At 45.8% G+C, this 24,231-nt stretch overlaps 1 protein-coding gene and 1 long non-coding RNA gene across 21 annotated transcripts in view, besides 29 other annotated features; one reads left to right on the forward strand and one right to left on the reverse strand.

Annotated features, from left to right (window-relative positions):
- The window catches only part of WT1 (WT1 transcription factor), a 47,765-nt gene extending 46,764 nt beyond the window's left edge, over nucleotides 1-1,001 (reverse strand). For 12 of the 16 annotated variants that reach the window (NR_176266.1, NR_160306.1, NM_001407050.1 and 9 more), the window contains exon 1: nucleotides 162-1,001. Coding sequence is in view for 14 of the 16 variants with exons in the window: in NM_001407050.1 (NP_001393979.1) it covers nucleotides 162-822 (661 nt within the window). In the remaining 2 variants the exon portion in view is untranslated. The remainder of the gene's footprint in view (nucleotides 1-161) is intronic. The other 4 variants (NM_001429034.1, NM_001429033.1, NM_001429032.1 and 1 more) reach the window with 1 other exon arrangement.
- Nucleotides 1-2,885: part of a biological region, named in NCBI's record as "WT1/WT1-AS bi-directional promoter region", that runs on past the window's edge. NCBI's record gives its function as "regulatory_interactions: LOC106707172 | WT1 | WT1-AS".
- Nucleotides 134-934: a DNaseI hypersensitive site, noted in NCBI's record as "hypersensitive site IX; the nucleotide coordinates are approximate for this feature". NCBI's record gives the evidence for it as "EXISTENCE:in vivo cleavage assay evidence [ECO:0001075][PMID:9407061]".
- Nucleotides 802-1,452: a promoter, noted in NCBI's record as "PstI/HindIII fragment for -449 to +201 WT1 promoter; blocked by cytosine methylation (PMID:12761165)". NCBI's record gives the evidence for it as "EXISTENCE:reporter gene assay evidence [ECO:0000049][PMID:8414514, PMID:8132626, PMID:8045305]".
- Nucleotides 802-2,000: a promoter, noted in NCBI's record as "-996 to +199 fragment for WT1 promoter". NCBI's record gives the evidence for it as "EXISTENCE:reporter gene assay evidence [ECO:0000049][PMID:14988020]".
- Nucleotides 829-854: a protein binding site, noted in NCBI's record as "proximal footprint; +377 to +402". NCBI's record gives the evidence for it as "EXISTENCE:protein binding evidence [ECO:0000024][PMID:9178767]".
- Nucleotides 873-932: a protein binding site, noted in NCBI's record as "P2 site". NCBI's record gives its function as "negatively regulates promoter activity" and the evidence as "EXISTENCE:protein binding evidence [ECO:0000024][PMID:17634147]".
- WT1-AS (WT1 antisense RNA) lies at nucleotides 980-24,231 on the forward strand. Of its 5 annotated transcripts, NR_120548.1 has the most exons (5): nucleotides 980-1,308; nucleotides 17,483-17,593; nucleotides 18,724-19,640; nucleotides 23,377-23,425; nucleotides 24,101-24,231. It is a non-coding gene; the product is annotated as a WT1 antisense RNA (long non-coding RNA). The 5 variants fall into 5 exon arrangements; NR_120547.1 differs by lacking the exons at nucleotides 17,483-17,593; nucleotides 18,724-19,640; nucleotides 23,377-23,425; nucleotides 24,101-24,231 and adding exons at nucleotides 2,532-2,659; nucleotides 3,307-4,919; NR_023920.2 differs by lacking the exons at nucleotides 17,483-17,593; nucleotides 18,724-19,640; nucleotides 23,377-23,425; nucleotides 24,101-24,231 and adding an exon at nucleotides 3,307-4,052.
- Nucleotides 1,042-1,074: an enhancer, noted in NCBI's record as "33 nt fragment for -81 to -48". NCBI's record gives the evidence for it as "EXISTENCE:reporter gene assay evidence [ECO:0000049][PMID:9006935]".
- Nucleotides 1,042-1,074: a protein binding site, noted in NCBI's record as "33 nt fragment for -81 to -48". NCBI's record gives its function as "promotes transcription" and the evidence as "EXISTENCE:protein binding evidence [ECO:0000024][PMID:9006935]".
- Nucleotides 1,094-1,196: a promoter, noted in NCBI's record as "104 nt core WT1 promoter". NCBI's record gives the evidence for it as "EXISTENCE:reporter gene assay evidence [ECO:0000049][PMID:8132626]".
- Nucleotides 1,106-1,906: a DNaseI hypersensitive site, noted in NCBI's record as "hypersensitive site VIII; the nucleotide coordinates are approximate for this feature". NCBI's record gives the evidence for it as "EXISTENCE:in vivo cleavage assay evidence [ECO:0001075][PMID:9407061]".
- Nucleotides 1,149-1,163: a protein binding site, noted in NCBI's record as "WT1-290". NCBI's record gives its function as "negatively regulates promoter activity" and the evidence as "EXISTENCE:protein binding evidence [ECO:0000024][PMID:8621487]".
- Nucleotides 1,237-1,257: a sequence secondary structure, noted in NCBI's record as "G-quadruplex; WT21; detected by circular dichroism and electrophoretic mobility shift assay; disrupting this structure with TMPyP4 results in lowered promoter activity". NCBI's record gives the evidence for it as "EXISTENCE:gel electrophoresis evidence [ECO:0000337][PMID:26815508]".
- Nucleotides 1,381-1,397: a protein binding site, noted in NCBI's record as "P site". NCBI's record gives the evidence for it as "EXISTENCE:protein binding evidence [ECO:0000024][PMID:8861958]".
- Nucleotides 1,381-1,397: a protein binding site, noted in NCBI's record as "P site". NCBI's record gives the evidence for it as "EXISTENCE:protein binding evidence [ECO:0000024][PMID:9336463]".
- Nucleotides 1,381-1,418: a transcriptional cis regulatory region, noted in NCBI's record as "38 nt human/mouse conserved region". NCBI's record gives its function as "mediates positive regulation of transcription by Pax8" and the evidence as "EXISTENCE:reporter gene assay evidence [ECO:0000049][PMID:8861958]".
- Nucleotides 1,399-1,419: a protein binding site, noted in NCBI's record as "D site". NCBI's record gives the evidence for it as "EXISTENCE:protein binding evidence [ECO:0000024][PMID:8861958]".
- Nucleotides 1,399-1,419: a protein binding site, noted in NCBI's record as "D site". NCBI's record gives the evidence for it as "EXISTENCE:protein binding evidence [ECO:0000024][PMID:9336463]".
- Nucleotides 1,403-1,529: a transcriptional cis regulatory region, noted in NCBI's record as "-172 to -299". NCBI's record gives its function as "mediates positive regulation of transcription by Pax2" and the evidence as "EXISTENCE:reporter gene assay evidence [ECO:0000049][PMID:9178767]".
- Nucleotides 1,433-1,462: a protein binding site. NCBI's record gives its function as "positively regulates promoter activity" and the evidence as "EXISTENCE:protein binding evidence [ECO:0000024][PMID:9388203]".
- Nucleotides 1,437-1,462: a protein binding site, noted in NCBI's record as "distal footprint; -230 to -205; CLBS3 (consensus-like binding site 3)". NCBI's record gives its function as "positively regulates promoter activity" and the evidence as "EXISTENCE:protein binding evidence [ECO:0000024][PMID:9178767]".
- Nucleotides 1,622-1,641: a transcriptional cis regulatory region, noted in NCBI's record as "aligns to WT1-AS transcript". NCBI's record gives its function as "mediates downregulation by WT1-AS transcript" and the evidence as "EXISTENCE:reporter gene assay evidence [ECO:0000049][PMID:26462627]".
- Nucleotides 1,844-1,873: a protein binding site, noted in NCBI's record as "Pea3-2 probe; contains P3-2 and P3-Py sites". NCBI's record gives its function as "positive regulation of WT1 promoter" and the evidence as "EXISTENCE:protein binding evidence [ECO:0000024][PMID:14988020]".
- Nucleotides 2,100-2,436: a promoter, noted in NCBI's record as "XhoI/HindIII fragment for -200 to +130 WT1-AS promoter". NCBI's record gives the evidence for it as "EXISTENCE:reporter gene assay evidence [ECO:0000049][PMID:8414514]".
- Nucleotides 2,250-2,650: a DNaseI hypersensitive site, noted in NCBI's record as "hypersensitive site VII; the nucleotide coordinates are approximate for this feature". NCBI's record gives the evidence for it as "EXISTENCE:in vivo cleavage assay evidence [ECO:0001075][PMID:9407061]".
- Nucleotides 2,305-2,310: a TATA box. NCBI's record gives the evidence for it as "COORDINATES:motif similarity evidence [ECO:0000028][PMID:8414514]".
- Nucleotides 2,738-2,885: an enhancer, noted in NCBI's record as "148 nt fragment". NCBI's record gives the evidence for it as "EXISTENCE:reporter gene assay evidence [ECO:0000049][PMID:7629096]".
- Nucleotides 3,475-4,332: an enhancer, noted in NCBI's record as "H3K27ac-H3K4me1 hESC enhancer chr11:32459559-32460416 (GRCh37/hg19 assembly coordinates)". NCBI's record gives its function as "activates a minimal SCP1, AML or CMV promoter by ChIP-STARR-seq in naive H9 embryonic stem cells {active_cell/tissue: H9 hESC(naive)}" and the evidence as "EXISTENCE:reporter gene assay evidence [ECO:0000049][PMID:30033119]".
- Nucleotides 4,333-5,188: an enhancer, noted in NCBI's record as "H3K27ac-H3K4me1 hESC enhancer chr11:32460417-32461272 (GRCh37/hg19 assembly coordinates)". NCBI's record gives its function as "activates a minimal SCP1, AML or CMV promoter by ChIP-STARR-seq in naive H9 embryonic stem cells {active_cell/tissue: H9 hESC(naive)}" and the evidence as "EXISTENCE:reporter gene assay evidence [ECO:0000049][PMID:30033119]".
- Nucleotides 6,465-6,759: a silencer, noted in NCBI's record as "tiled region #1868; HepG2 Repressive non-DNase unmatched - State 21:Repr". NCBI's record gives its function as "represses a minimal TATA promoter and a strong SV40 promoter by Sharpr-MPRA in HepG2 cells {active_cell/tissue: HepG2}" and the evidence as "EXISTENCE:reporter gene assay evidence [ECO:0000049][PMID:27701403]".

The raw sequence follows: 24,231 nt of genomic DNA on the forward strand, positions 1-24,231 counted from the left end.
CCGGCCTCCTCCCCAGCCGCCGCTTCCGCTATCCTCACGGCCCTTGGGAAGCAGCTGGGTAAGAGCTGCGGTCAAAAGGGGTAGGAGAGGGGGGTGTCCTAGAGCGGAGAGTCCCTGGCGCCACTGCCCCGCGCGTAGGGGGCGCTCCCCGGCCTACTTACCCTGATTGCGAATAGCGGGCTGGCTCTCGAGGCAGCTGGGCAGGTAGGGCGCGTTAGGAAACATCCTGGCCTGGCCGGATGACGCCTGGCTGGGCGGAGGAGGACCGAAGGGCCCGTAGCGACAGGCTCCGGCTGTGCCAGTGAACTGGCCGGAAAAGTGGACAGTGAAGGCGCTCAGGCACTGCTCCTCGTGCGGCTCCGCGCCGCCCCAGCTCGGCTCCTGTTTGATGAAGGAGTGAGGCGGCGGCGGCGGGGGTGGCGGCGGAGCCGGTGGCGGCGCGGGGCCGCCCAACGACCCGTAAGCCGAAGCGCCCGGGGGCGCAAAGTCCAGCACCGGCGCCCACTGCGCCGCGCCGCTCACAGGCAGGGCACAGCCGCCGCCGCCACCCAGGGAGGGGACGGCGGGCAGCAGCGCGTTCAGGTCCCGCACGTCGGAGCCCATTTGCTGCGGCTCAGACCCGGACGCCCCGCGGCTCCTCCGGCCCTGGAGACGTTCAGCGCTGGCCTCGGCGGCGCCTAACTTGGCCCAGATGCCGCCCGGGTCCCGGACTCCCTGCTGCTCTGGCTGCTGTAGGCACCCAGGCCCGGAGCGGAGCGTGTGCTGAGACGCCGGCTCCGGGACACACGTGGAAGCCGGGTCCTGCAGCAAGAGGAAGTCCAGGATCGCGGCGAGGAGACGGCGGGGCCCGGGCGCCTGGGCTGCCGTCCCGGCTCTGGGTGGGTGGGTGGGTGAATGAGTAGGTGGGAGGGAGGGCGGGAAGTGGGGGAGCGGACAGGCGGTCGGGTTGCGGAGAGCCCCCGGGTGTGGGCGCTGCCTTGAACTCCTTACCCCAGCTGCCTGGCTGCCCTCAGCTTCCCAAAGCTCAAATAAGAGGGGCCGGCGGCGCGGGGAAGAGGAGGAGCCAGGAGGCTCGGCCGCTCCATTCACTCAGCAGCCCAAGCCCGGCCAGGCAGCGCGCGCTGCTCCTTGGGGGCGCCCTCGCAGCTGGGGTGAGGGCGGGTCCGAGGGAGCGTCCCTCTCGGAGACACCCTCCTCTTCAACCCAACACGCGCTCTCAGCTGGCCGGTGTGGCACAACCCTCCCCCCACCTCCCCTTCTTGGCCTTCGCCAGTGTGGGAGCCTCGTCTCACTGGAGAGTCCGTTCAGGTAAGCAGTGAGTCCGGGCAGGGTCGAATGCGGTGGGAGTAGAGATGGGGTTGTTAATCTAAAAGAGTGGTTTGGAGGGAGGGGCAGGTAGGCTCCAAGAGGGCGGGAACTTCAGGAAAGCGCAGAAAGAACTCAGTCAAGCTTCAAAGAAGCGTATACCCTTGCTTTGCACCCTTGAGTCTGGCTCTTGCTTCTAGAACTGTCGGGTAGGGGAGTGGCCATGATCTTGGGGTCACTGGGGAAAGAGGTGGCCCTTTGTGGGTTCCAGAGGTCGGGACTGAAAGCGAACGTCCCTCAGTTGGGTGGCCGGGAGTTGCACCAGTTATAAGCCGGGCGTATTTCGATCGGCTAGTAGTTGTTTACTTGGTGAGGTTTGCGCCAGGCGGAAGGCGGTTGCCGCCTACCTAAAATTGGAGTCAGCAGCACTTAGTTTCCCTTTCCAGTGAGGAATATCTAATTCTTCTACGGTTAAGCCGGGAAAACAGCGGCTAGTTTAGGAGGGAAGAAAACCCTTGGGCAAACGCCCAAAGCCTGCGTATATTCCGGCCGGAGCATCCTGGCGCCCAGTTTGGGGAGGAGGGGTGAAGGGGAGGGTTTGGATACGAAGCCCGGCAGGGAGCGGGTAACTCCTGGAGCCACTCCGCCGAGCACTGCCTGTGGCCCTGGTCGAGGATACCATTCTGGTTGCTCAGTGATTGACCAGGAGGCGGAAGCCAGTTAAGGGGACCAAGGAGTGGAGTAGGGAGAACCTCCATCGGCCCACGGGCGCGAGTTAGTGTTCGAATCTTTGGGAGCTCGAAGAGCTTCGCTAAATCTGACTCCCTTCGTCTAGTCTCTGTTTGGCAGCCCCCGCGCCCCAGAGCAGGTGTTTGGGGCGGGTAGGGGGTGTTTTGGTTTGGTTTTTGGATCTTCTAAAGGAGTCAGTATCTATTGGGAAACAACCCCTAGGCAAGGAGAAGAACCGGGGGCCGGAGCGGAGCGTGTTTCAGAGGTGCGTATAAAATCCCAGGGGCGCCAGGAGGCAGCAGCGACGGCGCAGCGTGGGACGGCCAGGCGCGACGGGAGGGAAGCAACCGGTTGCAGTCCGGCCTCCTGTACCTGGCTGGCCCGGGCTGGGGCTGCAAGCTTTCCAGCCAAACTTATGTGAAGCAAAGTAGTTGCAGTTTGACAAAGAATGGCGTTTCAATAAATGACATAGTAATTTTTTACGCTTTGGTTTTTAGCTTGCATTGCATAAACGTTGTCGCCATTAAATTCTGGCTGCGGACCCGAAGTGTGTGCGGGCCCAGGACTTACTCGAAGGGCGCACTTCTTGGGAATGCGCATCCCGTAGGCGCAGGAGACCCTGAGGGTAAAGATGCGGCACTTGAGCCCTCCGCTTGCCTCCCAGGCCACCTTTGCTGCTTGACTTTGCGTCGTCTCCACTCAGAAGCTTTTAAAATTATTATTAAGAAAAGAAAGATTCTACAAGACACTGCCCCCACGCTCTCTGCTCAGTCCTCTCCCACACGATCTATCCCTAAACCTTTCGCGGGGCTCGCGCGTTTGGTTTTTTGAGTGGAGAAAGGACTCTCGAGACAAAATTCACTGCCAGTTGCCCTAAGAACCCCCCAGATCCCTGTATCTCCCTTCCTTCTCCCCGCCTATTATTTCTACTTGGAAGTCGTTTTTCTTAACTAGGACTCAACTGTGAGGGGCGAGGAGCCCTTTATGAAAAGCCGGGGACTTTCATTTCCAAACGAAAAGATTGAGATTGTTTCTTCTTTTACCATCCTTGGCACTTTTAGCGGGGGGAGAGGAGGTTATCTGAAGGGAGGCTGGCTTGAATGTGAGTCGTTGTGTTTGTGAAACCCAGGTAAGGCAAAGACACGTAAATCTCTGCCAACATTTTTCAAAAATAAGTTTTTGCCCCGGGGTGAGGGATGTAGGGGTGGATAGGAGGAAAGGAGAGCCAAGCAAATGTAGAACTCCTCTCTCCTCTGCCATTTATTTTCTCAGAATCCTTGTGGGGGCGGGGAGGGGAAGAGCACCGGTGCGAACCCCGGGGTGCCCCCTCGCCCGACTTGGACTTCTCCGACTAAAGAGGTGGGAGGAGTTCCCTGCAGCCTGCGGGGCCAAGAAGAAAGTGCTAAGCTGAGGAGCCGCAGTCGGAGGACCCCAGGGACCCGACAGGAAGTCTCCGTACGACCCCAACGGATCCACATGCCCGGAAGCCCAGGCGACACTAAGCCAGCGCTGGGGAACTGACGTACTCCTGCAGTCGCAGGGCGCTCCATGCCTCTCTGTCCTCTTCTTTGTTGTGGGTAACGTTCTCTGCGGGAGACCTGAGGTTTTCCAAGGGGGACATGCCAGCTACACTGGCCTTGGCGCCCTGAGCTAAGCACCAGGACTCACAGCCTAGCACGAAGGCAGGTAGCACCTTCACCCGCCGCGGACGATAGGCGCTCTCCTGTACCTCCTTTAGCTCGCGAGGCCCGCCCTTCGCGAGGTCCCAGAGAAAAGCAGGCTGTGGAAAACTGGGCGCCCCCTTCTTTCACCCACCTTCTTACCCCTGTCAGCGCCGAGATCTGTAGCAGAGGTTCCTGGTCTGAACCACCGATTGGCAAAGAAAGCTGCAGATTAAACTTCTCGTTTTACAGAGAAGGAAACTGAGGCCCAGACAGCCGAAGGAGAGGCAGTCTATGGAGCGCAGCGGTAAAGAGCAAGGGGTTGGTGGCCCCAGAATGGAACCTCAGCTCTGCCAGGTAACCAACAGCTGTGTGACCCTAGACGAGTTCCGCAGTCTCTCTGAGCCTCAGTTTCCTTACTGGTCAAACGGGATAATGGGATACTAGCGCCCACCTCATAGAGTTGTTCTGAGGATTAGATAGGAGAGCAGTGTGGGCCTTTGACTCAATCAACTTTACAGTTTTTGTTACTACTACTGTTTAAGGACAGGAAACAAGTTAGTGGCAACGCCGAGCTGAAACCCGGGTCTCTCAACGTCCAGTTGGAGGTTTTACCCACCACCCCTCTACCTCTTCAGAGCTAATGGGATGCAGAGGCGAGGACAGCCCCTGGAAAACCATGTGGCGTTGATACACTGGCAAAGCGCAGGCATCCCGGCCTCGAAGGTGCATAATTATTGCAATATGAAAAAATCGAGGCTGGGTAGGAGCAGGGCAGTGAGGATTTCTCAACCCTTACTTTCACCCCGGCGCTGTCCACTGCATCTGACAGAGCGCGGAGCTGGGCTGCTACAGCCGCAACCCCAGGGACCAGTGCGCACGCCTGGGCCGCCCTCCGGGAGTCACCCAGCGGCCGCGGACAACTGAATAAACACCCCAAAGCGCTGCGGTCGGTCAAGGGCGGGGACAGCCACACTGCGCGCGGGGCCCGCAGGCCGTAATAAAGAGTGGCTCGACCTCGCTGCTGCCTGTCGCGGGAGAGGAACAAGCTTTCGACTAGCGCCTCTCCCCGGGGCCCGCGCCCCGAGCCCCACGCGCAAGACAGCCCAACAGCTGTTCCTCCCCTCCCCGCCGACTCCAACTCTTCGGAATCTGCCCACTCGGGGCTGCAGGGCAAGTGTTTAGGATGGTTCCCAGCCCCGCGCTGGCGGTGAAAATTTCAACGTCATTCCTTCAATTAAAAAAAGGGGGGGGCAAGGGAGGGGCTTTGTGATAACTACTCCCAGCTTCTTCTGATCATTTCAAAATTAAGTCGATTTTTTTTAACCAGTCCCCACTTACTGTCCTAACTCTCCTCGCTGACCCTATCTGGGAGCCCGGAACCGTTAGGTACTGCCGAATGCGGTGCAAAATTTCCCCCTCTCCCCCAGTTCGCAGTGCCTGGAGCCGCTGGGGTTACTCGTCTGTTCTGATGCCACCGCGAGATGGTCCCCGAGCTCCCCGAGAGTCCTCAGTGAAAGGATTCCGCGGCACTGCCTCTATTATTATACCGTAAATCTTTTTAAATTCTGGAACTAATTATATAGAGGATATGTCTCAATTTGTTCTGCATTAATGCCACAGTGGGGATGGAGGCCAGGCCGTGGCCAGAGCAGATACGTAGGCCCATGAAATTGATGAACTGAGAGTTGCTTCCAGTCCTGAGCGCACCATCTGGAATTCCAGTCTGAGGTTACAATTAGAACTCCTGACCCCAGATTCAACTTTGCAAACAACAGGGGAAAAAAATGGGGAAAAGAAAAACCACGAGAGAGGGAAAAAAAATTATTCTGCACCTGTAAAAAAAAAAAAAAAAAAAAAAAAAAAAAAAAAGTCACACAATCTTAAAATCTTTCCGTCTTAGACAATTCTTTCCAAGTATTTCTTTTGTGTTTTTTAACCTATAAAAGATAATGGAATGTTTTATAGACTGGATTTTATCTCATCCCCTTTCCCTCTCCCAACTGCCCTCAGTTTAATAGTTGTCAGTTTTACCTCAGTGTTGAATTTAATTATATAGGAACAAAATATTCCTCAGTAAATTTGCTTGCTAAATATTCTGTCACATTTACTTCCCCTTTGAGAAATGGCTTAATTATAGAAATCTACCTGCATCTAGGAATTTTTTTTCCCTTTTCTTTTTTGACCGCCATTCCAGCTTAATCGTAAGCAGAGATTTTATTTGTGCAGTAATTTTATTTGTGTTCTAAATTCGTTTAGCCAATTTCTTCCTTCTTTCTTTAGTAACACCCTGCTTTATTTTCCTCTCACTTTGACCCCCTGAAGAAAACGAAGGACCAAGCAGTACTGGAGAATCTGTTAAATTTATTAGCATAAATGCTTAGACAAAACGAGATATAAATCATTCAGATGTATTAAGCCATAAAGTATCCCAATGAAGTCAGTCCCTTGCCAGGGTCCTGGTGTATAAATGTTCATATAAAACAAGGTATCAGTATTATCTTTCAAACTGAATATATGTTGTAAAAATATCCAAGGTTGAGTTAGGAATATGGGGGGAGGGTGCAGCAGGGCAGGAAGGGGATATTCTTTAGACCAGTTTGTTAACATAGTGGTGGCTCAGAAAGTATGGTGGAAAGGAAAAATTTCAACCGTTTACATTTGGAGTCTTCTTAGATAATATGTTTTTAAATAACGGTATGCAGGATATATTTGAGAGCAAAGGAATAAGAGAAAAAAAAGATGACTAGAGGGAGAAAGGCATTGATTTCTGTAGAATGCATTTGTCCCCCAAAGATCAGTTTAGCTTCACAAAAATCCACCCAGAGGAGGCACTGGCTCTTCACACAGATAACGGATTATCCAGTAGAGAAGAGCTACCTGGGCCTTCGTCTGGCAACTGGGATATGCAGCCGCTGGTCAGCAGAGGGATGTGTATTCATTAGCGGTGGAAGACGAGGAAAGCGCCCGGGAGTGAGGAAGAGGAATGGACAGAATTCCTGGCAGAAGCTTACCAAGACAAAAATCAGACACAATGTTTAAGCAGCAATTGCTCGTGAAGTTCATAACCATGGCTCTCTGTAAATCTTGGCAAATTGGGACATTCTTTGCTTTTTGGAAATGATTGTTTTCAAGACTTTTTTTAAAAAATCAAGTTGTCCACCAGAAAAATGGAATAGCTCACCTTCCCCATCTTTTTTTTAAAGCAGGGATATCCTCATCCTTTCCGTGCCATTCATTCTTTCATTCATTCACTCACCGTGCAACAAAGATTGTTGGGCATTGTAGCAGCAAGTAGGAGCACAGGGTAATGACAGGCTCACCCCGCTCTCACAGTTTATATTCCAGTAGGTATGACAGATACATTACAAGGAAACAATGAGATATTTTCATATAGTAGTAATTGCTATAAAAGAACAAGGAGATCTGTAAGACTAGAGAATGACTAAAGGTGAGATGGGAATGAGGAGCAACAGATAGCCCTCACTTCCTTTTGCTTTCTGCCCACACTACCACATTTTAGTGTGTTTAGGAAGTATTCCACCTTACAGTCCAGATGCAGGAAGGGTTTGAAGGATTTGGAATGGTTGGTCTGGATAAATCTCTGCCTACAAAACTGGACTTTATGAAAGCGGCAGGGCAGCTGTTTATATAGCTGGCTTAAAATCATCACCACTAGCTGAGTGACTCTGAAAGCTATTTAACCCCTGAGAAATTCAGTTTTCTTCTCTTCAAGATAAAAAATAACAGCAAGTTATGAGGACTACATAAGGTAAGGCATGTAAATTTCTTAGCCTTTAGGAAGCACTCAATACATGTTGGCTATTATCTATATAGACATAAATTCTATGCTTTGCTTCCAATTAATTGATAAGTTATAGGCTTAGTATTGATATTGGTGTGAATTCAGAAAAGGTGGAAGTCTTTGTTCTTGTTGGATCAGGGTGAAGAGCAGGAAGAGAAACCTTTGCTGAATCTGACCTTAAACAAGGTTGTTGCCATCTAGAAGGAAATTTAAATGATTTTGCCCTACACCAGGACCCTAAAACAGGAAATATGTGGCTTTTGCCTCAAAATCAAGCTTAGGTTCCTTCTTTTAGTACAGAAGTCTATAGGTTAACAACCTGAAAATCTTAGAATTGCATTGAAAATCTTAGAATTGCATTGTTCCTTAGAGCCACATTTCAGGTTTGCAGCCTTGTCCAGGATAAAGAATTCTGGGGTAGGTATAAAAACACCTGAACTCAAATCCTATCTCTATCAGTTACTGTGATCTTAGGGAAATAGCTTCAGCTCTCAGTTTTTCAGTAGCTTTATGTGTAAAATGGAGATTATATAAAATGAAATAAAGCATCCATAGGTGATTTGAAAACTCTGAAGTGTCAGACAGTGCAGAAGACCATCATAACATTGTTACATGTGAACATGTGGAAAGGAATATGTCTATTCAGAACACTGGGGCACATTGCTTGCTCTCATGGTTCTTCATTTTTAAGTGAGTATAGTACCTTTCATGCAGGGCTATTGTGATAAGTAAGTGAGATCATATATATAAACTTTCAAAACAATGCATAGCATAGAATGTGTGCTATGTAAGCATCACTGCTACGGTTATTGTTACTGTTCTCTGGCCATCTTGTTGGGCCAAGTGTTGAACCTTATAATTTTCACATAGAGAGCTTCTTACTGTAGAAGTTTATAATAGTATAGAGAGCAAGGCTTTGGGATCAGATGACTGGGGTTTAAAGCCTCCTCGCTAGTTATTTTCTGTATGGCTTTGGGTGGCTTCCTTATTTTCTCTGAGCTTTAATTTTCATAACCTTAAAACAGGGCTAATGATACCATCACCTCACAGGGTTGTTTTGAGAACAAATTAAAACACCATATGTAAATTGCTTTCGTGGCACCTGGCATGTAGTAAGAAATCAATAACTGGTAGTTATTAAACCTACAATTCTTCTAATCAGACAATATTAGCTATGACTTAAAACAGGTGAGCCTGCAAGAGCTTGAATTACAGCATGATTCTGAACAAACACAGAAAGTAATTTCTATCTTCTTTTAAACTCACCTGTACTACACTGAAATCTCACTCTTTCACATATGAAAGACTTTGCAACCAAGGCACTGACAAGGATTTCCTTTTTGACTATGAACGCTTTAGGTTAAAATTCTGAATCTCATTTATTTTTAATGGGTTTCTTTGCAAAATACCCAGCGTATGTCAAGGACATTGGTAATCCCATGTTCTTCAAAATAAGCAGGAAATTGATTTCAGCCAATGGGGAGAAAAAGTAGTTTGATCCTCTTCCTGGAGTTACCACATAGCATTTATTAATAGCTCTGTAAACGGTCTGGAACACAGTATCAGCTTGCTGTTCAAAATATGACAAAAGTTTATGCAAAGTTGCTTAGGAAAAACAAGATCTAGTCATTAGAAATCTGACACTGGTCAATAGTACATTTATTCCAAGTCTCCATAAATCACAAACAAATGAAACTTCTATTGTGATCACTGTTCCAGATCTAAAAGACCCTCCCCCTTACTTTGGTAGAAATTAAATACATTTTAGAAAGCCCAATATTTTTTCCTCTACAAATAGAGGCTAATTACAAAATTTCCCAAGAAATAATAAATATTAAACTATAATCAACAGATGTGACACAAGATGAATAAGAAGCACATAACTTAGCTTTCATTCCTTATGTAGGGCGCATGTTTATCTTTAATTATCCCCAACCTGGGAATGGCATAAATGTTATCTGTTTTATTTATTATTTGTATCTAGAGTGACATCACATTTTGATTTTGCCCAGGACAGTCTCAGCTTAAGCTGTTGTCCCAGCTTAATTATTAATTACTCTCCTTTTACTCCAAAGTATTCTACTTTTGATGGTAAATAAGGACTTCACTTGCTTAAAATTTTATTTTATTAAAAAAATGATAGATTTAAGAAAGCCATTGGAACAAGGGTAAAAGATAGGCTAAATGGGGCTAATGAGAAGAAAAAAATTGAATTAATATTAGAATCAAAGGATGCAGATAGTTACTATAATTGAGCATAATGCAATTCTGAACTTCCTGACAGCCAAGTAAGAAAGGGGAAAATAGCACTAGTTACCTATCTTTCGTGATGCAATAAAGGGAAGAAACCTAGTTTTTCAGAAGAGATGAATTTTTTCTAGTACTAAACTCAAAGAGGAACTTACCATACTAGCCTTTCTATAAGAGTTATCAGGTAACGGTTAGCGACTTCAAAAATAATGTTTCAAAAGATGCAACGACATTTTCTGGTAGTTTATTTCAACCCAATGTCCACAGCATTAAAATTATGGTTCTGTAAACTGTAAGAGGAGAGAGGCAATAATATAGTCCCTTTTTGTAGTTTTCTGGAGGATCTGACCTGATCAAATCAACCTGATTTGTTAATTTTTAGAATGTGCCTAATGGGTTTTTTTTTATTTTTATTTTTTATTTTTTTTGAGGCAGAATCTTGCTCTGTCACCCAGGTTGGAGTGCAGTGACCCCATCTCGGCTCACTACAACCTCCGCTACCCGAGTTCAAGCGATTCTCTTGCCTCAGCCTCCCAAGTAGCGGGGATTACAGGCACCCACCACCCCGCCTGGCTAGTTTTTGTATTTTTAATAGAGACAGGGTTTCACCATGTTGGTCAGGCTGGTCTTAAACTCCTGACTTCAGGTGATCCACCCGCCTTGGCCTCCCAAAGTCTGGGATTACAGCCGTGAGCCACCACGCCCGACCCCGTAATTTTTTAAAAGCATCTTTTATTCGTTAATCATCAGTTAACTTGAACCCGAATCCAAACGCTGCGAAAGACCTGACCATTGTTCTCCAGAATCTGCGAACGATTTGGTGAGAGCTCTAGGGCAGTGGTTGTTCTCAACTGAGATGATTTGCAACCCAGCAGACGTCTGGCAATGTCTAGAGATATTTTTTGTCACGACTTACAGTAAGACAGGATCACTAGATGCACAGTCCTGGTATCTAGTGAGTAGAGGCCAGGGATGCTGTTAAACATTCTATAATGCACAGGACAGACCCCCCAGAACAAAGAATTATCCAGCCTAAAATGTCAATAGTGCCGAGACTGAGAAACTGTGCCCCAGGGTACTGTTAGAAGAAGGGATGGAGGGCCAGGCGCGGTGGCTCACGCCTGTAATCGCAGCACTGTGGGAGGTCAGGCGGGCGGATCACGAGGTCAGGAGATCAAGACCATCCTGATTAACACGGTGAAACCCCGTCTCTACTAAAAAATACAAAAAATTAGCCGGGAGTGGTGGCGGGCGCCTGTAGTCCTAGCTGCTTGGGAGGCTGAGGCAGGAGAATGGCGTGAACCCAGCAGGCGGAGCTTGCAGTGAGCTGAGATCGCGCCACTGCACTCCAGCCTGGGCAACAGAGTGAGGATCTGTCTCTAAATAAATATATAAATAAAAGAAGGGATGGAGACATAGTTTTTAGCTGGAGTCAAAAGAAAAAATCCTCATGGGGAAGGGGAGCTTGGGCTAGATTCCTTCATCCCACCCAGTGGAGCTGGAGGATGTCTCTCCCCAAGCTCAGCAAATGTCAGGAAAAAAATACAAGAAGAGGCAATCATGTGGAAATGCAGTCCACAAAGGGAATTGTGGATAAACTCATTTAACCAGAAAGGAGGAAGAATCCATGTAGAGCAATAAGAAAGAAAGCCAGATAGCACAGCACATGCAAATTTAGGGCAAAGAGTTTCTGTTTTGATGTTATGCTCCAATATCACTAAATATTGCTGGTATTTTTTAAAGCCACACAAATCAAGGGCAGCATAAACTTTTATGTTCCCAGAGTTCATCTTTGGAATACTGGCTTATAGTGTATATGTGGATATGCACATATTTTGCTTCCTCTCCTCCACATCGTTTTTTACCACTTACATAATAGGGATTCCTTGGAACTCAGTTTTATATCACATTAAATTTAAAAATGGGTGCCTACTCAAAAAGACAACCTATCAAGGCACAGAAAATTCTGAACCACTGCTGTAATGAATACATCATTGGAATCTCCATTAAGAAATATTATTCTGACCTAGTTCTCTGTGTCATGCTGCAGATTGTCCTTCTCTTGACTCATGGAATGCTTTGTGAGAAAGAACTACAAAGCCGGGTCCCTCGATATTAGCCATCTCACCCTTCAAAGTTCAGCCAGGAGTGGGACAAAACCCTCGTCACCATGTTGACATGTTTACTTCTGGCGCAGGAAAATACTGCTGTTGCCCAATTTGGTTTCCCAGTCCATTCACTTGCCTGGAGACATATATTTTATGCTTTCCTTTGATGATTTACAAATAAATTAACGTGATTCACTAAGGTCTGCCAGCATATATGCGTTACTGGAGAAATCTGAGATGTTGAAAAAGTATTTTAATTTATTGTATCCCAATACTTTCTTAAGAAAGTTTCTTAAGAACCAAATAAATATCATCAGCTAGTTTATATACCTGACATATTTATTACGGTATTCCCGCTGAGCACTTCCCATTGTCATGTGTTCTCACACATTGTTTTCACAAATTGTGTTTTGAAAGAAGTCAAGGGAAATTCAGGCCAGAGAAGCAAGATGTTATCTTTTGGAAAGGATGAGCCCACTCTAATGGAAGAGGATAATCCATTCAGAGGTTTGTGAGGCCAATATCCCCCAGTGGGTGTGATAAATCCACAGCGTCTGAATCCAGAATTTTGCACTGGGACCTTGAAGTTGCATGAACAATTTAGTCATGTTCCAAATAAACACAGTGTATCATTATTATTATTGGATAAACATGAACATCTGTTAGGTCAAGTTTGCCCTATTTCCTTAAAGGCAACTGGAGTCCCTGAACACAGTTCTCATATGTCTATCACAAATGGATCTGAGATGGGTGTATAATGCCAAAGCGGCTCCTTGACCATCTCTGTGTTTGGAAACCAGATTTTAAAAAGAAAAAAAAAAGTCACCTGCTCATCTGAGGTGGGTCACATGCCTAGAGAGCACCATAGAGACTGCAGTTCCCTTCTGAATCCCATCAACAGAGCTACTGTCAAAAGATGAAAATATTTGAATCAGCTGGCCTTCTTCATTTTTAAAGCAATGTTGTACATATTTTAAGCAATTATTTGGGGCGAGAGGACTCTAATTGACACCATTCTCTTGTCCTAACTCAGCCTGGCACCTTTCCAGCTGTCACTCAGTGGGCACAGGATATGGAGGATGATTTCTCACCAGGCTGAATCAGCAGGTTGCAGCAGGTTACAACTGCAAGGGACTTTACAAAGCTTCTAATCCTACCCCTCATTTTTCAGATAAGACATTATTGATACGATCTGCCCAAGATCATGCACTTAGTTAGTGGCAGAGCTTTACCCAAGGCCAGGAAATAAAATCTGTCTTTCTGGAACAGCATTCATTGGTTTGCACTTACCGAGTACCTTTTACAGGCCCAGTAAGTAAAACAGGATGCACAAACCTGGCTCTCAACTTGCTTACAGTCTGGCTGTGCTTCAGGACTTGGTCATCATTGAAGCAGGATGTGCAAGTACTTGTAAGAAGTATCCTTGTGGCCAGGTGCAGTGGCTCACACCTGTAATCCCAGCACTTTAGGAGGCCAAGGTGGGCAGATCACGAGGTCAGGAGTTCGAGACCAGCCTTGCCAACATGGTGAAACCTGTCTCTACTAAAAATACAAAAATTAGCCGGGCGTGGTGGTGGGCGCCTGTAATCCCAGCTACTTGTGAGGCTGAGGCAGGAGAATCGCTTGAAACTGGAAGGTGGAGGTTGCAGTGAGCTGAGATCAGGCCACTGAACTCCAGCCTGAGCAACAAGAACGAAACTCTGTCTCAAAAAAAAAAGAAGTATCCTTGTAACAACCCTCACTTTTACCAGATCCAAGAATTCTCTCCAGTACCTCTCTATGTTATACAGGGATACTGAAGACAATTTCATTAAGTTTTACAGAGAGGCCCCTGGTGAGTATGTAAATAATTAGCTCATCACTATATTGTGAAAATTAGGAAAGCATCCTCATACTTCACAGAGGAGGACCTGACATATAAAGATACCTAAAGTACTGACAGCATCTTTTTGTCTGAATTAAGTCAATGATGCCTCATACAGGTTTAGCAACAAGGATACCCGAAGGGGGAGCTCTTCTGGTTTGGAACTGAATTGAAGGGACTGGTTGACCAAACCGCAAAGCACATGTCTTTTAGACCTGCATTTAGTAGCACAGTCAAAGGAAGATAACCAGAGGGCCACACAGAAATTGTTAATCTTCTTTACCCTGTATTATTTGCCTATTTGATGCTGATGAAATCCTTAGAGCATTGGGGTGGGGGTGAGTGCGAGGGGGAGTGAGTATTATGTAATGTGCAAACATGCAGACATTTACCAAAGATCAAGTTCCAAGATGTAAAAATCAAACAAAAATCTCTCCTAACAACAACAAAAAAATCTCCTAATTTGACTCCCAAAAGACCTGAAAAGCATTTCAAATGTGTCCAGTAAGGCATTAAAAATAATTATCCCAAAGAGGAATCACTCCCTTGGTTGTTTCGATGTCTTTTTGTCTACAAACAAATTTTCTAAACCACTGCCTTGGCTTCCTTTAAAAGGTCTCTAGAACAAAAGTACTTTGGGTGACCCCAGGATTACTGAGCAACAGTAACCAAGGATGTAGATGAGGCTGAAAAAGATAAAAACAGATGATGCCCTTTTTGATGTCAACTCTGAAATATTATATAATTAAAACAGAATAAAATGCAAAAGTTTAGAAACAAAGAAATAATCCTATCAAGAAAATTAGCATGCTCATTTAAGAGAACGTTAAGATTTTTTTTAAAGCATCCTATAAAATCACTCTTATGCTGCCCAGATGGCTCTGGGGGGGTGACTTTTTTATGTAATTAAAATTCGCTGTCCTCCCCTTTTCCTCCTCCTTCCCTCCTCCTCCTTCTCTTTTTTCTTCCGTAATAATAGTTATTATTATTAGCCATCAAGAATCGAGTGCCTAGGCTCTCTCGTACATTCCCTCCACTTCTCACAGCAACCATTTCAGTTAGAGTTTGTTTGCCATTTCCTAGATGAGAAAACAGAGGCTGGGAGGTTTGGGTTTCCCATGGTTAGCCATGTAGAATGCGGGGTAGCCAGAGTAGCAGTCTTCCGTTTGGAGGACCGAGCATCAGAATTCCAGAAGGAAGTGAGGTGGAGATAAGGAAACGGGGAACCCCTTTGGCACCAGCACTTGGGATGGCTTATGCTCAGAGTCAAACCTACTGTGCGGTCCAATTATGCCAATGTCCACAGCCCTAAGTACAATTAAATTGCATTGCCACAGAATCTGTTTTCACCGTACAATGTTAACTAAAGTCAGATCCACCTACTTATTGTTTGTATCAAATTCTAGCTTACCTCCTTCATACGGTAGCTGTGCTGTGTCCCTGAAATTAATTTTTTTTTTTTGTTAAATACAGTGAACAGCAGTGCCAGTGCACTGTGGGGGAGTTACAAAAAGAATTTGCTATTTCCAGGAATCCCAAGGTGAAGTTTTTTTTCTTCAGTATCATTCTTCCCTCTCCCCCTCTCCAAACTTGAATTTTCATCTGCCAGGGTTTAGTAGAGCAGGGGTGGAATGCATGAGCACACCAATATTGTATCTCAATAAAGCAAGAGCCAGCTCTACTGAACCATTCACTTGGATTTTTAACATGGTAGCTCTCAGAAGATCTCAGAGCTAAGCTGTTTCTGATGGTCACAGGGAGAAGAAAATGCAGAGGTTTCCGCATTAATAAAACCCAGAGGCTCATAAGTAGCACTGAATTAAGGGAGCCAGACTGTGTGTTGCTGAAGTCTTCATCCTTTCTCTCTGTGCTCTTAACATGAATCCTGTCTCTGCCCTTCCCTTTCACAGTGATATCTCATTTACTGAGCTGGGCCTTCTCACTCTCACCTCTCCCTTCTACACCTTCCATCTCACAAGGAATCCTGAAGGATTAAGCTAACAGAATATTGCTAAGAAAAAAGGAAAATGGCTTCACAGGGGAAAATTGGCACCTTCCACATTCGTTAAAAGACAGAACTCCATCAAGGTTGATTTTCTGGGCTTCTCGTATAGTTAGACAGAGGGGTTAGATACCCCAGGCAGGGAGTCAGATGCTCAAAGCTGAAACAGTTCTGCCTGTTTGAGAACCTCAGGAAGAGAGCCAGAGATACTCAGTCAGGTATTTGGGATCACATCTCTTCTATGAAATGTGCCTTGGTTCCAGTTACTCCTTTATCTCTGGCAACAAGCACCAGGGTCATGAACTAAGGACTGTGGGTGGAACTTGAAGCCAGGGCCAGAAGATGCCCCACCCTGCCTGTCAGGGTTTAACCCAAAAAAGCAACAGCAGTGTTCCTTACCCAGGACACCCTTCGAGGGTTAGAGGCAGGCAGCTTGTCACTTGGTCCAGCTTTCTTCTGCACCCTTTCAGGATACATAAATGAAACTTTGGGGCTTCCTTTGGGCCATTTGGCCTGTTTGTGCAGCAGGCAGCCATTGGCTAGCAGCGGCAGGAAGTTACTAATGATAAAGAGTAACGACCCTTTATAGATGCTTTTTAAGTGACTGGCACCGTGTTACATGTTTTCTTAGATTATCTCATTTGATCCTCACAAAAATCCTGGGTGAAAAGTCACTTTTAAATCTTCATTGAATATATGAGACGTGGAGAGCTTGTCATTTGTCCAAAGTCCCACAGCTAAAATATGGCAGAGCTGGCCGGCCGCGTTGGCTCACGCCTGTAATTCCAGCACTTTGGGAGGCTGAGGTGGGCGGATCACGAGGTCAGGAGATCGAAACCATCCTGGCCAACATGGTGAAACCCTGTCTCTGCTAAAAATACAAAAATTAGCTGGGTGTGGTGGCGCATGCCTGTGGTCCCAGCTACTTGGGAGGCTGAGGCACGAGAATCGCTTGAACCCAGGAGGCAGAGGTTGCAGTGAGCCAAGATCACGCCACTGCGTGATCACGCCACTCCAGCCTGGTGACAGAGGGAGACTGTGTCTCAAAAAAAAAAAAAAAAGAAAAGAAAAGAAAAGAAAATGGCAGAGCTCAGGTTGAAGTGATTCTAAAGCCTTTGATGCTAACTGCTCTAGCGTCTTAGAGGACTGAGTAAAACCATTCCCTGTCATCCAGGTACCATTGTTAGTCAAGCTCCTGTGGAAACACATTCAAATGGGGCAATCGAGGAACACTTAATGAACAGTCTGTTTTTTTGTTTGTTTGGTTGGTTGGTTGTTTTTTGAGAGAGAGTCTCACTATGTTGCCCAGGCTGGAGTGTAGTGGTACAACCTCCGCCTCCCAGGTTCAAGTGATTCTCCTGCCTCAGCCTCTCAAGTGGCTGTGACTACAGGTATACACCACCATGCCCAGCTAATTTTTATATTTTCAGTAGAGACAAGGTTTCACCATGGAGGCCAGGCTGTAATGAAGGGTCTATTTTAAAAGGTGTGGGCAGGGTTAAGGGAAATGAGTGAGGGGTAGTGAAGTCCCCTGGCTCTAGACACTGCAGGGAGTCTGTTACCATCCCTGTGGCTGAGAGAGGAGGGAAGAGGAGTGAGTGGTTCTAGAACCCAGACAGAGAGGAACTGGAGAGAGTGGAGAAGCCTACGGTACAGAAAGGCTGAACTTCTGAAAGGAACATTGTTAACTTGAGCTGACTTAGCAGGGAAGGAGCCAAGGAACACAGAGCCTGACCTCATTCTTCTTTCTCCCTCCAGGCTCTGTCACTATTTCCCATTGGCCAAACGCTACTGGAAGTGGAAGGCTAAGAAGCCCGATGGTGCAATCCATACACGTCAGCCTCTGGGGCCAGAGTGGGATGAAAAAAGGTGGGGAGGCCCTTGAGGGAGCTTTGTATATTTGAAAATAACTTTATTCTAGCCTTTTCTTGACTGATATTTAGCTGTTTATATGATTATACATTGAACATAATTTTTTCTCAGACTTTGGAGACATTGTTCTTTGCTGTTAACTTCTAGCATTGCTTTTGAGAAATCCAAATCCATTATGAGTCTTGAACCAATATGTACAACTAGGGTTTTCTCTCTAGAAGTTGATAGGATATTCTCTTCATGGGTTCACTAAACTGCCCAATTCAGTTCCCAATAATCCTTGTTTAAAAAAAAAGAATCGGGCTGGGCGCGGTGGCTCATGCCTGTAATCCCAGCACTTTGGGAGGCCGAGGAGGGTGGATCATAAGGTCAGGAGATCGAGACACGGTGAAACCCCGTCTCTACTGAAAATACAAAAAAAAATCAGCCGGGTGTGGTGGCAGGTGCGTAGTCCCAGCTAATCCAGAGGCTGAGGCAGGAGAATGGTGTGAACCCAGGAGTGGAGGTTGCAGTGAGCCGAGATCGTGCCACTGCACTCCAACCTGGGGGACAGAGCAAGATTCCATCTCAAAACAAAAAAAAGAATAAATCTATTTAGTAAATGATCCCAACAAATTTTAGAATGGTAATTTACAAGGACAGAAAAACGTATCACTTATTGATATTTGAAAAAATCACTTTTCTCTTTAAGCAGCATTTAGAACACAACCTAATATAGGTCTTGAATTGTAAATTCTGTTGTAAAAGGCATTCTTTGGGCAAATAATGTTAACAATGGGGAGAAAACAATTCATGATTGTGGGAGCATCCAGAATTATTTTCTCCTCAGCATCTAAAATGTCTTAGTTATCCTGTCATCACATGAAATTGCTACTGGGGTTCCTGAACACAGGCCCAGGTCAACACTAAACAACACGTGTCTCTAGAGCAACAGACCCTTCAAAAAGCAGACCTACCAGACATTTCTCTTAGAAAAATAATGTATTTTTTTTGTACTGAGCTTACTATTTTATGTAAATATATTTTATCTGGAAAGAGAATGTGCCCTGTTATAGGAACCCACCATTCAGTATGTCATGGCCCTGACACAGAACAATTGGTGACAGAAACTCTTTTGTGAGTTTTAGGCTCATGATGGAGCCCGAGTTATATGGCAGGAGATGATTTCCACGGTCTGTGAACACTGAAGATGAGACTGGCTTGGGGCCACGTGCCAAACTGCACAGCCAGTAAGACCTGCTTCCATCGACCCACAGCAGCTCTGACTTTTTTTTTTTAACAATAGAGAAGAAACTACCACAGGGAAGAGAGAGAACAATGGCATTTTGACAAATGGAACAAAGATAGAGTGTGACTGACAATTCAGGTCAGAAGGAAAATTAAAGCACAGGAAGACTGATGTTGGTCGGCCTCCTTGCCAAGAAGCAAAAACTCAGGGGGAGGCATCCAGCCACATGCGAACTGGCTCAACACTGGCCATTTTGTTTGAGCAATTTTGTTGGATGTTTTCTACAAAAGAGCACTTTTTCTCGGACTTCAAACATTCTTATATGCAGGATCGACACCACACACTGCCATCATCCCCTGGAGTAGTATCCTTGAGACCTGAGGAGGGGAAAACTGGAGGGACGTTGTGGGACTCCATTGAGAAATGTGGTCCTTTGTCTCCCTGGAGATCTTTGAGGACGGTTCAGATAAAGTTGCTGCCAGTGGAAGCAGCTAGGCTCAGAAACCTCCAGTTGCCCTTTCTAGACTTGTAATCCTCTGAAAAATGGAAATTAGGAAGCGTTCATTTATGACCTTGAAAAAAATCGTTTACAAAAGTATATTATATCACTAAAATGAGCTGGAAAAAGGGTTTATGTGAAAGTTCATGTGAGAAACACAGCTATTAGCACGCATGCCATTCCCCACCTTGACCTCAGCAGGAATGTGTAAATTGTAACATATGGAATGTAAGCCCTGTCGAGATGTTTCATAAATCTGCCTGGCAATGAGCATCACAAGGCCCTGCATGAGAACAGGCCCCAGAAATGGAGAGACAGTGAGTATTGTGCCTGACAACTTCTAATTTTAATAAGTCCAGACTGACGATTGAAAATTTCCACATAATGTTCTTTAATAATATTGATTATTTCCTGACAAAGGGGCACTTTTTCATGGAACTCAACCCAGGTAATCCATCCATCCATCCATCCATCCATCCATCCATTCAAGATATATCTACTGAAGGCCTACAATATTGCAGGTGGCATGCTGGGCACTGCAGATACAATGGAGGACAGGAGGGATATTGTGTTGCCCCTGTAGGGTTTACTATATGTAGGAAAACAGATATGAAACAAATAATAGAGTTTGAGACCAGCCTGGCCAACATGGTGAAACCCTGTCTCTACTAAAAATACAAAAATTAGCTGAGCGTGGTGGACGGGCACCTGTAATCCCAGATACTCGGGAGGCTGAGGCAGGGGAATCACTTGAACCCGGGAGGCAGAGTTTGCAGTGAGCCAGGATTGCACCATTGCACTCTAGCCTGGGCGACAAGAACTAAACTCTGTCTTCCAAAAAATAATGATAATAATTTTATAATTGCAATTTTGATCAATGCTGTAAAGGAAAATAGTAGCTTCTACTGATAGTAGCACTCTGCCAAAGTTTCTACATGCATGATCTCATTTAATTCTCATAACAATTCTCTGCAGTAGGTACTACCAATAGCTCCATTTTAGACATGAATAGAGACATGGAGGTTTACATGTATCACCCAAGGTCACGCAGCTCTGGAGTGGTGGAGTTAGAATACAAAGTCAGTCTGAGTCCCCATCCCAAGTTCCTGATACCATACCATTTTTTTTTTTATATAACCTGGGTGAGGAAGTGGGTGCTGATTTAGATTTGAAGATTAAAGAAAATATCTTTCAGGATGAGATTTTAGGCCAAGCCTCAAGGATAAGTAGGTATTAACCAGGCAAAATAAAGTAGCAGGAGTATTCCAGAATTGGGGAATTGCATGTCAAAGGCCCTGAGGCAGGAAGGTGGGTGGCCGTGGGTGTTCATGGGGAGGCCAGAGTGACAGGATTGGGTGGCGTGTGGGGCAAGGCTGGAGAGGCAGAAAAGAGTCAGAGTAGGTGGGGCCTTGTAAATCATGTTAAGATATCTTGAACTAAATCCTGACCAGAGTGGGAGCTCCTGGAAGACCTGACTTTATCTGGGGCTGAGTGGTGTGGCTCCAGGCAGAACTGCTGCTGCAGCCAAGAAAGGAGATGTGTTCTCCCTATGGGAGACTGAGCCTGTTCCTGGGCTCATTTCTCACCCCTTCGTCCCAGCATCTTCCATATAAGTGAATGGATTCTATATACTTCTCCTTTAACAGACTTCTGCCCCCTGGGCCAGTTAAAAGACAATGATGTCAAGAAAAGACTGGCAAAAAATGCAGAAGTTCATTCAGCGCTGAGATCTGCTTAATACTAATCTCAGTGGCCGGCCGTGGTGGCTCACACCTGTAATCCCAACACTTTGGGAGGCCAAGGCGGGTGGATCACCTGAGGTCAGGAGTTTGAGACCAGCCTGGCTAACATGGTGAAACCTTGTCTCTACTAAAAATATAAAAATCAGATGAGTGTGGTGGCATGTGCTTGTAATCCCAGCTACTTGGGAGGCTGAGGCGGGAGAATCACTTGAACTCGGGAGGCAGAAGTTGCAGTGAGCCGAAATCATGCCACTGTACTCCAGCCTGGGTGACAGAGCGAGACTGTGTCTCAAAAAACAATACATATATTAATCTCAGTTACCACTATTAACTTTGGCACTGCCCAAACTATGGGATCCCCATTAAAATTTAGAAAAAGATCCCCTCCAAATTTCCATGTTAAAAGTGGCGGTTTTTTCTTACGTTCCTAAGACAGATACCCTATCACTCTGTGTATTTGTTATCAGTTCTTTCATTTATTCATTCATCAAAGATTTGCACATCTATTATGGCAGACATGAAACATACCAAAGTAAATAAGACTGGGGTCCGTGTGCTCTCAGGGCTAGACAGAGCCTGGTTCCAGGGGAGCACTCTCATCACATGATGCCATTAGCCCCTGGGGTAGGCAGAATAATGCCCCCTGCCAAGAGATCCATGCCATAATCCCAGGAACCCGCGAATATGTTACTTTACATGGTGAAAGGGACTTTGCAGATATGAATATGGCATGGGCTTTGAGATGGGGAGATTATCCTGGGTTACCTGAGTGAGCCCAATGCACTCACAAAAGTTCTTTTATTTATTTTTTGTTTTTTGAGACGGGTCTCACTCTGTCATCCAGGCTGCAGTGCAGTGGCAGCGATCACAGTTCACTGTAGCCATGACCTCCTCAGGCTCAGGTGATCCTCCTACCTCAGCCTCCTGAATAGCTGAAACTACAGGCGCACTACTACAGATTCTCCTGGAAAGCCTTGAGAAGGAGATGCAAAGCTGCCAACACCTCGATTTTAGCCTAATGAGACCCATTTGGGACTCTGGATCTCCACAACTGTAAAATAATAAATTTGTGTTCTTTTAAGCCATGAAATGTATGGTAATTGGTTGCACCAGCAATAGAAAACAAGTATCCACCCCACTCGAGCCAGGAGGCTGGCCCAAGACAGACCTCCCTCTTAATCCCTCACAGTTTCCCACTGGGCCCAGATGTAGTCTCACAATTGTTCACAGCCCAGCAGTCCAGACACCTACTTCCAATCGATTGGTGACAAAATGACTCACCTGCTCTCCTGCGGGGCCTGTACAACAATTTATACTTGATTGTGACCCCTCCAGCATTGCCAAATACACACACATTAATGCCTGGAACATTTTTTTTAATAACTCTTACAGATCTGAGTTCCTAAAGTAGCTGCTTACACTGCTGTGTGTCCTTGGGCAAATTACATACATCTCTGTGCTTCCACGTGTTCATCTCTAAAATCAGAATAATAATATTGATCATCTAGCATTATTGTAAGGATTAAATGAATTAGACATGAGAGCATTAAAAATGGCACCTGGTACACAGTAAGCACTCAGAAATTTTAACAATGGTGATGATGATTGTTATTATTATTTCCTACAGCATTTGGCATGAGGCTTAAAAGTCCTTTTTTCTTTTTTCTTTTTTTTTCTTTTTTGAGACGGAGTCTCGCTCTGTCACCCAGGCTGGAGTGCAGTGGCGTGATCTCAGCTCACTGCAACCTCTGCCTCCCAGGTTCAAGCAATTCTCCTGCCTCAGCCTCCCTAGAAGCTGGGATTACAGCCACACACCGCAAGCCTGGCTAATTTTTGTAATTTTTTTAGTAGAGACGGGGTTTCACCATGTTGGCCAGGCTGGTCTCAAACTCCTGACCTCAAGTGATCCGCCTGCCTCGGCCTCCCGAAGTGTTGGGATTACAGGCATGAGCCACCATGGCTGGCCAAAAGTCCTTTTTTGATCATTTGGTCTACAATGTGGAAAATGCACTAGAGGGGCAAGTTGACAGGAGCCAACTAGGGGAAGACTGAATTAGGGTGATGATGACTGAAATGGAAAGAGGTGGATAGACTTGAGAAATACCGCATAAGTAAAAATCAACAAGGCCTGCTGATGAATTGCATCTAGGGGTTGAGGATGTACCTAGGGTGACATAGTCAGAAGCCTTTTAATGATATTTTATAATGATGTGTTAATACAGTATAAAAGAAATCCTTAGTTTGCTTCTCTGCTTCCCTCCCCTCTCCTATCATCTTTTCCTATTGTGATACCTCTTTTCTTTCTTTCCAGAATAAAGAAACATCAGAAATATTAAAATGAGGACCAAAAGGAGTCCCAGGTATAGGAGCATGAAACATCTGGCAACATGTAGCAAAAACAGGAGACTTTTTTCTTCTAACGGAATTTTGGCCTCTTGGTGCCAGTATGTGAAAAAGGCCTTGTAGGCCAGGTGCAGAGGCTCACGCCTGTAATCCCAGCACTTTGGGAGGCCGAGGCTGGCAGATTACGAGGTCAGGAGTTCAAGACCAGCCTGGTCAACATGGTGAAGCCCCGTCTCTACTAAAAATACAAAAATTAGTTGGGCGTGGTGGCGCATGCCTGTAATGCCAGCTACTTGGAAGGCTGAGGCAGGAGAGACGCTTGAACCCTGGAGGCGGAGGTTGCAGAGAGCCAAGATCGCACCACTGCACTCCAACCTGGGTGACAGGGTGAGACTCCATCTCAAAAAAGAAAAAAGATAAAGGCCTTGTAATTGGCCAGAATGAGGGGAAGTTAGACAAGAGAGGAAGAAATATAAATATAATTAAACTGTCGGAATTGATTTTTTTTTTTTTTTTTGAGATGGAGTCTTGCTCTGTCACCCAGGCTGGAGTGCAGTGGCGTGATCTTGGCTCACTGCAAGCTCCGCCTCCCAGGTTCACACCATACTCCCGCCTCAGCCTCCTGAATAGCTGGGACTACATGGGCCCGCCACTACACCCGGCTAATTTTTTTGTTTTTGTATTTTTAGTAGAGATGGGGTTTCACCGTGTTAGCCAGGATAGTCTCAATCTCCTGACCTCATGATCCGCCTGCCTTGGCCTCCCAAAGTGCTGGGATTACAGGTGTGAGCCACCATGCCCAGCCAAATTTTCAAATAAATAA

Source organism: Homo sapiens, chromosome 11 (assembly GCF_000001405.40).
Source record: "Homo sapiens chromosome 11, GRCh38.p14 Primary Assembly".
Lineage (NCBI taxonomy): Eukaryota > Metazoa > Chordata > Mammalia > Primates > Hominidae > Homo > Homo sapiens.